Here is a 9,758-nt window from a genome sequence, read left to right as displayed (position 1 = left end):
AGGGCTTGCTAAGGAATCCCCTGATGGCCTAGGATTCCACGCAGAGCACATCTGGTGTGAGAGAGCTCGCTGCAAGGGTGAAGGCTCCGCCCTATCAGATAGACAACCAGGCCACCAAGAGGCCCAGCCCTCCAAACCCTGGATTTGCAACATCCTCAAAGAACAGCAACGGGCCTTGAGCAGAATTGAGAAGGAAATACCCCCACCTGCCCTCAGCCGTTAAGTGGGCTTTGCTATTCACAAGGGCCTCTGGGTGTCCTGGCAGAGAGGGGAGATGGCACAGGCACCAGGTGCTAGGGTGCCAGGGCCTCCCGAGAAGGAACAGGTGCAAAGCAGGCAATTAGCCCAGAAGGTATCCGTGGGGCAGGCAGCCTAGATCTGATGGGGGAAGCCACCAGGATTACATCATCTGCTGGTGAGTAGGCTTCATTAATTCTCTGATGAATGGACGATTGCAAGGGAACTTTTTTCATCTTCAAGGAGCCAGAAGAAGTGGTGATTAAATTGGTCTTTTAAAATAAAAAGACTCCAAAGGGGTACAAGTCTTCAAGCTTCCCCTGTGGTGTTCCGGGCACTCTGGCTTCTCTTTCGGAGGGAGGAAGAGCATCTATTCATAGGCTGTGACTTGGAGAGGCCCCACGGTGAGTCAGGCGCTTGCTGTGTGAGCCGCTGGTTGCTAATGTCTTCGGGAACTGCTAATTTACCCATCTAATTTGTTCCTGTACACTGGCCACAAAGGGAGACCACTCAATTATTCTGATCCAAAAGAGAGGCTTGTGTTTACCATGATCTCCCCAGCAACTGTGTGAGTGTGTGTGCATGTGTGTGTGTGTGTGTGTGTGTGTGTGTGTGTGTGTGTGTGTTTGCCTAACAACCTTAGGCAATGACGAAGAGGTGGGGCTGCTGCCCTTGTTAGCATTTTCAAACACATTCCAGTTCTGAGTTGAGGGCAAAGATTGTAATGGGGTGCTTCAGAGAAGCCTTGGCTCCCAAGGAGGTTATAACTTCAAAGGGTGTTTTTGAAAAACCAAGGCGGATGAGGAAAGTGGCTACAAGTTCCTTCCATCACAGAGGATCAATGAAGGGGAACAAAGATTTGGGAGCATCTACTTTGTGCCAGGTACTGTGCTTGGGTTTTACACGTCTTCTCTTGTTGACTTTGCATAACTCCCCTTTGAAGCAGATATTACTCCAGGTTCTTGCCGTAATGTTTCAGCTTAAAGAAAACCAACCCATACTTCTTTAGGTTGCCCTGAAAAGGTGAATCTTCTGTGAAGCCTTTTCTGTCTTTATCTGTTAAAATTAATTAAGCTCTTGTTTGTGCTCCCAGAAAATCACTTTAGACCTTAGAAAGATGGCAGCCTCAGTTTTCTCATTTGTAATATAGGGGTACCCATAGGGTCATTGTGAGAAATAATAGAAATAAATCATGGAAGTGCTTGGATAGTAGCTGGTACTTAGCCCTCATCAGTCATCATTGTCATTGTTGTTAAGAGTAATAATAATAATAATATCACTTATTATAATTACTCACCTCTAGGTTTTTAAAAAACTTACAGGCCGGGCACATTGGCTAACGCCTGTAATCTTAGCACTTTGGGAGGCCAAGGCAGGCAGATCGCCTGAGGTCAGCAGTTCAAGACCAGCTTGGGCAACATGGTGAAACCCTGTCTCTACTAAAAATATGAAAATTAGCCACGCGTGGTGGCTCATCCCTGTAATCCCAGCTACTCGGGAGGCTGAGAGAGGAGAATTGCTTGAACCCGGGAGGCGGAGGTTGCAGTGAGCCAAGATGGCACTATTGCACTCCAGCCTGGGTGACGAGAAACTCCATCTCATAAAAACAAAAACAAAAACAAAAAAACTTACATAAATTTATGGGGAACAAGTACAATTTTGTGACAAGCGTAAATTGCATAGTCTTGAAGTCAGGGCTTCTAAGGTATCTATCACCAGATTGATATCTATTGGTATCTATCACCAGATTGATATCTATTGATATCTATCACCAGATTGATATCACCACATTGTACCTATTAATTAATTTCTCATCATCCTCCCCCCACCCTTCTGAGTCTCCAGTGTATATTATTCCATACCCTAATGCCATGTGTTCACATTATTTAGCTCCCACTTATGAGTGAACAGTGTGATATTTGTCTTTCAGTGTCTGACTTTTTTAACTTAAGATAACAGCTTCCAGTTCTACCCATGTGGCTGCGAGAGACATGATTTCATTCTTTTTTATGGCTGAATAATATTCCATTGCATATATATACACCACAGTTTTAAATCCAATCATCCATTGATGGACACTTAGGTTGATTCCACATCTTTGCTATTGTGACTAGTGCTACGATAAACATACAAGTGCAGGTATCTAATTATTTCTTTTCCTTTGGATGGATACCCAGTAGTGGGATTGCTGGATTGAATGGTAGTTCTAATTTTAGTTCTCTGACAAATCTCCATACTGTTCTTCCTAGAGATTGTACTAATTTACATTCCCACCAACAGCGTATAAGAGTTTCCTTTTCTCCACATCGCCACTAGGTTGTAAGTTCCTTGAATGTAGGGATCATGTCTCTTTTCTTCATTGTTTTATAACAAGAGCCTAGGAGTGTTTGGCACATGGCAAGTACTTGTTTTCTAGCTGACAGATGAATGAACAAATGAGTGAAGGATGCTTCCTCCTCACTGCTGTGAGCTTCTGAGAATGGACCCTTGTCTGACCTGCTTCTGTATCTCTAGTGTGACTGCTTTGTCTGGCACAACAGAACTGCTCAGCGATTCTGTTGAACGGATGCTGCTGCCTGGCCCGTATCTGGCCTGGAGAGTCTGGCTGCGAGCTCATCTGTGCTCTGGTCTGGCTAAGGTTAGCTGCAGCCCTAGGAACTCAGAGAGTGTGTCCTGGACATTTCACCCCTAGTTGGTGAGCTCCTCAAGGGTAGGGACGGTGTCTTGTTTATTTTTAAATTCTTGGTGCCCAGTACAGTGCCTGGTACACAGGAGATGCTCAAATGGCTACCCCTAGCCTCTGAGGTCCCACTGCACTCAAAGAAGAGCAGAGCTCCAAATGACCTTGTCATCTTTCCCCTATTACCCAAACCTGTTCAATTTCCCCATTTCTGTTTATTAAAGATCCATTTTCTCAGTTACAAAGATCCAAGACTCCTCGAGGGTATTCTACCCTAACGGAAATAGGACAGGCTTTGTAGTCAGACTTGAACCCTGGCTTTGGCGACTACTAGCTGTCCTGCCTGGAGAAGTTGCGTACCCTTCCTGAGCCTCAGTTTTCCCTTTCATTGAATCAGGATGATAATACACACTTCATTCATCCACTCAGCAAGTGTTTACTGGGCGCCTCATACACAGCAGGAACTGTTCTAGGCACTGCGGATACGTAGACGTCAACAAAACAAACATTGCTCTTGCCTGAAAGGGGCTTACAAACTTGAGAGGGGGAGACAGACACCAATCAAATAAGCAAGTACACATATAGTATGCCAGATGGCAATATGTGCTAGGGAGAAAAATAACACAGAGTGAGGGAAAATGGAATGCGCTGGCCCGGGTTATTAGTGTCTTACTCAGGTGATGAAGGAAGACCTTTCTAATAAGAAGAACTCACATCTGGGGAAGAATGTTCCCGGAAGAAGGAGAAGAGCAAAGGCCCTAAAGCAAGAGTTTGAAGAATGACAAGGGGTCCTGTGTGGATGAAGCAGAGGGAGGGAAGGAGGAAGGGAGTGTAAGAGAAGGGGACACAGAGATGGCTAGAGCCAGATATGCAGGGCCTTATAGGACTTTGGCTTTTTACTCTGGGCAAGAAGGAAACCTTGGGAGAGCTTCAAGCAGAGGAGCGAAATGATCTGATGCAGGTTATGAAAGGATCCCCCTGGCAGTGGCACAGAGTATGGCCCCTGACCTGTGTGGATGGGGCAGAAGCATAAGGCTGGCCATTTGCATCCCACAAATGACCTCAGTGTGAGGGATGAGCGAGATCATATACGAATGCGCTTGCGTGAGTATGCATAGAGCAAGTGCTCAAGCCATGGCAGCTTCTATCAATGGCCCTGCAGCTGCCTGGCTATAGCTCCCTGGTCTCCTGCAGACAAGTCTTGGCCAGTCACGTGAGTGCCTCTGTCATTGCCCACTCAGTCATTCCCCCTGCCCCCACCTCCTTTCTTCAACCCTTCACTGGTGGTTAAGCTCCTAGCACAGCAGCCTCACCTCCAGCCTCTCCCCACCCCAACCCAACCCAAATGCAACTCCACTCACATCCTTCCCCTGTTCAAGAGTCTTCCATGGACTAGTGGCTCATTAAATCCACATTCTTGGCTAGGTGCAGTGGCTCACACCTGTAATCCCATCACTTTGGGAGGCCAAGGCGGGCAGATGGCTTGAGCCCAGGAGTTTGAGATCAGCCTGAGCAACATGGCAAAACCCCATCTCTACAAAAAGCAAACAAACAAACAAACAAAAAACAAAACAAAAGAACAAAACAAAAATTAGCCAAGCGTGGTGGCACACACAGCTGCTTGGGAGGTTGAGGTGGGAGGATCACCTGAACTCAGAAGGTCAAGGCTGCAGTGAACCACAGTATCACCACTGCACTCCAGCCTGAGCAACAGAGCAAGACCCTGTCTCAAAAAAAAAAAAAAAAAAAAAATCCACATTCCTGGAGACTTGCAGCTAAGGCCTTCCACAATAAGATGCTGCATTTACGTTTCCCACCCATAATCAACTGCTATCCCAAACATATTGAATATCTGTGGAGAAGTATGGGTGGGTGCAATATGTCACTCCTAGCAGAATCACTGAGGAAACTGACCACACTCATGATGGAAAATTGACGGTAATGAGTCCTTCCCTCAGGTTCCCCAACCCCACAATATGCCCTAACCATGGTGGACATGTATTCCTGTCTGTCACTGGCTCACTTCTCCCACCAGGCTACCGCAAACTCCACAATGATGTATATTCTCTTAAAGCTACAAAATGGCTTGTGGTTTCCAAATCAGTTTTCCTTACTGCTCTTATCTCCCTTGATACTTGCCCCTATGGGCCCCTCATCCATAATAAAATGCCCTCATTTTACACTTACTAGTTCTGACAAGAGTCCCAGGTTCCAAGTCATGGATTCCCATGTGGGATTGCTCCTCTGATCCTTCATTCCTATATCTTTTTTCAATCTATCCACAATTCACAAGGCATCGGTGTCAGACCAATGGCAAATAATAAGTGGGACCTGCTGGCTATGGATGGAAGAGCGAAGTCCCTGACAACATGTTTCTACCAGCCTGGAAATGAGGCTCTCCCATCCCCTAACACATCTACCAGTTGTGATGGATTTAAAGGCTGGCTAATGTTAAGCTTGTTCCACAGGGGATAGAATATTGGCCCCTGGACTGACACCTACCACCATGTGGATCTTGGAGCAAGACAAAGGAGCCCCCCAACATTCGTGTTCTGAAATAACAATGCCTGAGGCTGTCTATTCCCCACCACGGATGCCAAAGCACAGACAGCCACTCACAGCTGTGGGATACAGATGCCCCTGTCATTATAAAAGGCCAGCCCTAAATGCTATTACAGAGTCTAAAAACTGAAAATGTTATTGTGAAACCTTTAGGTTTTTTATAGCTGGCTATGCCTGATATAGCTGGTGGCCTGGGACACAGTTTCCCTACTCAGCGCTGGGACACCTCGGCAATACTGCACCCACAGTGTCATCCCTATCTGTTTGGAATGTACAATTCTTCTACAACACCATGGGCCAGGAATATCACATCATCCTGAGAAGCCATCAGGACAAACAAAAAGGAATGTGGTCCTGTATGTTTAGTCCCACCTCCCCTACAAACTACTTTTATCATAGAAATGATGCCCAATTGTCAGCCCAGCGCATGTGGTGTCCTCCAGCACCCCTTCTAAATGTGCCCTCAAGCACCCCTTCTGCTTTGTGCATCTTTGTGACACCCTTCCAGATGTCAGCCTATATCTCCATGACCCAAATCTGACTTAAGAGTTGTGGCCGGGCATGGTGGCTCATGCCTGTAATCCCAGCACTTTGGGAGGCCAAGGCAGGTGGATCACCTGAAGTCAGGAGTTTGAGACGAGCCTGGCCAACATGGTGAAACCCCGTCTCTACTAAAAATACAAAAAAATTAGCCAAGCTTGGTGGTGGGCACCTGCAATCCCAGCTACTTGGGAGGCTGAGGCAGGAGAATTGCTTGAACCTGGGAGGCAGAGGCTGCAATGAGCCAAGATTGTGCCATTGCACTCCAGCCTAGGTGACAAGAGCGAAACTCTGGCTCAAAAAAAAAAAAGGTGTACCAGCCCAGGGAGACAATGGCCACATTGCAGGTGATGACCACAGCCCAGCCAACCACTGCATCCTGGAGGCTGCCCACCAGTTACCCACATCATCTACCAAGGGACCCCCTTGCTGGAGCACAAACAGCTTCCCTTGGGGGATCCCTCAATCAGCATTTGTCACATACCTGAAAAGGGTGGCCACCACACAGGCCACCAAAGTTATAACTCTCTCCTCTCACTTCCTCCCCATTGGGCACAATAAACCTCATTGCCATTGTGGCTGGAACTTCCCTTCCTGGGCCTCCCAAAGCAATTCTACTGCCTAAGGCTATCTCCGGGCTAACTTGTATGTACACAGAGATAAAGCCACATCCCAGTGGCTGGACCTCATGCAATGTTGGGCCTCCTATCTGCCCCCATGAGCAGGCCACTCCCTTATTTGCACCACAAAACCACCAACACCAAACACTTCTGGTCTAGGCTCCTAGGTCTTGCCCTGTCCTATGTTGGCTCAGATGTTATCCAGTCTGGTCCCCGGCTCATGAGTCCAGATCATACATCTATCCAAATGTATAAATACATGCCTATGCTTGTATCTTCCTAGGCCCACACAGCACAACTAGTGTCATGGCCCACCCCAGATATTAAAGGAACACAAGAGATTGGAAGCCCCAGAGGGAACCTGCTTCACCTGTTCCACTCCTAGATAACTTCTTCCTGACGTCCCAAATACCTAAACTCACCTGCACACTGCTAAGTCTGACAACCCCCTTCACATTTTTCTGACTGTTCTGCAATTTAACCCTGCTGGTCACAGTCCCCAGTCAGAGGTGATGGGCAGTCTTCCTACCCATTGTCCTGGGTATAAGCATGACTTGGGGCCAGAAGAGTGGGACTAAGGTCTTACAATATGATCACACCAGGAAAACTAGCAGATACTTCAGAGAAAGATCCGAGGTCCTATCAGCCCACGTAACACAAAAAACAGCAGCACTGGAAGCTTTCACTGAAGGGCAAAAACCCCTAACTGCCAGGGTGGCAGATAAGAGACTAGCTCCAGATGATATGCCAGCTTCCCAGAAGGAGTATATGCTCTCAGAGGGCATAGTGTATCCTGCTGGACGTGGATAAATATTGCAAGGCAAAGTAATCCAAATAGCCCAATGGATGTACCACCAAACAGAAACCAAATTCTACATGTGGTACTCTGAACTCCCTAGGACTTGGATGTCCCCTGTAGCCTGGGGTGACCTTGTTTTAGGAGCCCTCCTGCCCACAAGTAGACTTACATACTGCACTGGCTATGTAAAATTGGTACAGCCTATATACAAGTATATTAGCTCTTTGGATGGTGAACCAAATGTTAGGGAGTGAATTTTGAAGAAATTGAGTTGAGTGCAAAAAGTTGCTCCCAGCAAAATGTCATTTGTCCAAATAGTTAACACCCACTGGGGCAGAAACCATCAGGGCACCCCACCCCTCACCACCCACTCAGCCCCACTCACCTCTGCAGCACCTAGTAATCATATGCAAGAAAACTCACCCTTACTCTTTTTGATTGACCACCCCCAGCCTGACCCCCAATGGAGCAGATCACTCAAAATTAATCTTCCCCCACTACCTCCTCTCGGCATTATTCAACAGGTGGGCCCCTGTCCTATATCTACGTAGGTCCCCAGCACCAGGCTCTTTCTCCTCCCCAGAAGTCAGGGAGTCCTCTTCTCAGTGGGGCCCTCAACCAGTGGCTTCCCTCGCTGCCTATGCCTGCATAAGTAATACACCTTTGAATTGCCTGTGATCACCGGGTCAGGTGTGGTGCGTTTTGGCATCCAAGGCTTTTAAATGGGAGAGAACAGCAGATCTGGTTCCTTTCACTGGAATATTGTTATGGTCCAATTCTGCAACCAGCTGACTTCATTACTACCTGTGAACTGCACCTCCAGCTCCTCCAACTGACCCCATACCCAGACCCTTACTTGGGCTGTTTCCTACCAGACACACCTGCTCTGTTAAGAAAACCATTATTGAAATCACCGGCTGTTAATTCCTACTCAGTCCTTAGTAGCCCTGTGAGCTGGAGCAAGTTCTGTAGGCTTTCTGTGACTCAGTTTCATCACCCATAAAATTATGATTACAATACTTACTTCATTAGGGTGTTGCAAGGGCCTAAAAAACACTCTATGTATAGCTCAAAGTACAAGCCTGACAACAAAGGAAGTTTCCAGATAATCGCTCATCAAGGGGCAACTCGATTTTCTGCTTCCTCCAGAAAGCCTTCCATGCTGATGTCCATCCACTCTGATCTCTCCCTAATCCAATCTGATTGCAGTTTTGATCAGCACCTCACTGTTGACCATGGATTTCTTCTCCATTACAAATGTGTTCATTTTGACTTCCAAGTAAGAGATAAAGGTCTTGGAAAGAAGTGATTGCATTTTACCTGGCTCTCCTACTGACTTTCTGTGTCATCTTCCTCTTAATTTTGGGGAGACTGAGTTTCTTTCTCTGGGATGGCAAATACATGGCCTATGTGCCAACACTTTCCCATCCTGAAACCTCAGGACACACACCAGTGTTCTCATCTTCTCTCCAGAACCTGGGTCCAGACTCACAATTCTTCTTAACACAATACTTTGGACAGTGTCTACTAACTTATCTAATAAATATGTTTTGAGTACTTCGTAGGTACCATCCCCCTTGGTCAGTTTCTAGAAGTTAAAACGTTGGACATCTTGTATCTGCACTTATGGAACTCATCCCTTAGTGGAGAAGAAAGACAATATGCAAATACACAAATAAGAAAATATCAAGTAGTGACAAATATAATGATGAAAATTAAATAACGGTGTGTTAGTGCCTGGGGAGGAGGCTATTTTTTAGATCAGGTATCCAGGGAAAGGCCTTCTGAGGTTTCTCCCTTGATCTGGGAGATTGGGTGTGGGCCTAAGAATATGTATTCCTAACATGCAAACGTAGGAAATTTGGGAAACACTGGCATAGTGAATGAGGTGAGGGCATAGTCAGAAGACCTAGGTCTAAATTCCGTCTCCTACATTTATGCAGCTGTATGACCCTGGGAAAGTTATTGAAATTTCTCTCTCACTTTCCTCCTCTGTAAAATTGGAATAATATTACTGATCTCAGGAGGTTTCTTATCAGGATTGAATAAGATCAAGTATTTAAAATGCCTGGCACATAATAAGTGCTCAATAAAAGGTAGGCATTGTTTGCCACAATTAGGTCTATCTATTTATAACCGTAATCTTTTGTTTGAATCACTCAAGAGACAAATCCAATAAATGCCGCTAGGTAATACGGTGTCTGCGTGTTGGCTTTTGCCTCATGAAGCTCTTCCTCTTGAAAAATAAATTTTCAAAAGACATTCCTGTGAGCAAGAATGCCCGAGTCTAAGGAACAAGGGTCATCCAGTTCTCTAGTTT

General features: G+C 46.2%; 1 protein-coding gene across 3 annotated transcripts in view, besides 1 other annotated feature; it reads left to right on the top strand.

Moving 5' to 3' along the window:
* Positions 1–133: 133 nt before the first annotated feature.
* The window catches only part of LMO2 (LIM domain only 2), a 33,501-nt gene continuing 23,876 nt past the window's right edge, over positions 134–9,758 (top strand). For all 3 annotated transcript variants that reach the window (XM_017017733.2, NM_005574.4, XM_047426944.1), the window contains exon 1: positions 134–415. The gene's annotated coding sequence lies outside the window, so the exon portion shown is untranslated. The remainder of the gene's footprint in view (positions 416–9,758) is intronic.
* Positions 569–678: an enhancer, noted in NCBI's record as "active region_4586". NCBI's record gives its function as "activates an Ori minimal core promoter by ATAC-STARR-seq in GM12878 lymphoblastoid cells {active_cell/tissue: GM12878}" and the evidence as "EXISTENCE:reporter gene assay evidence [ECO:0000049][PMID:35858748]".

The sequence above is a fragment of the Homo sapiens genome, chromosome 11, assembly GCF_000001405.40.
Source record: "Homo sapiens chromosome 11, GRCh38.p14 Primary Assembly".
Classification (NCBI taxonomy): domain Eukaryota; kingdom Metazoa; phylum Chordata; class Mammalia; order Primates; family Hominidae; genus Homo; species Homo sapiens.
This window is presented reverse-complemented; position numbering and strand designations above follow the sequence as displayed.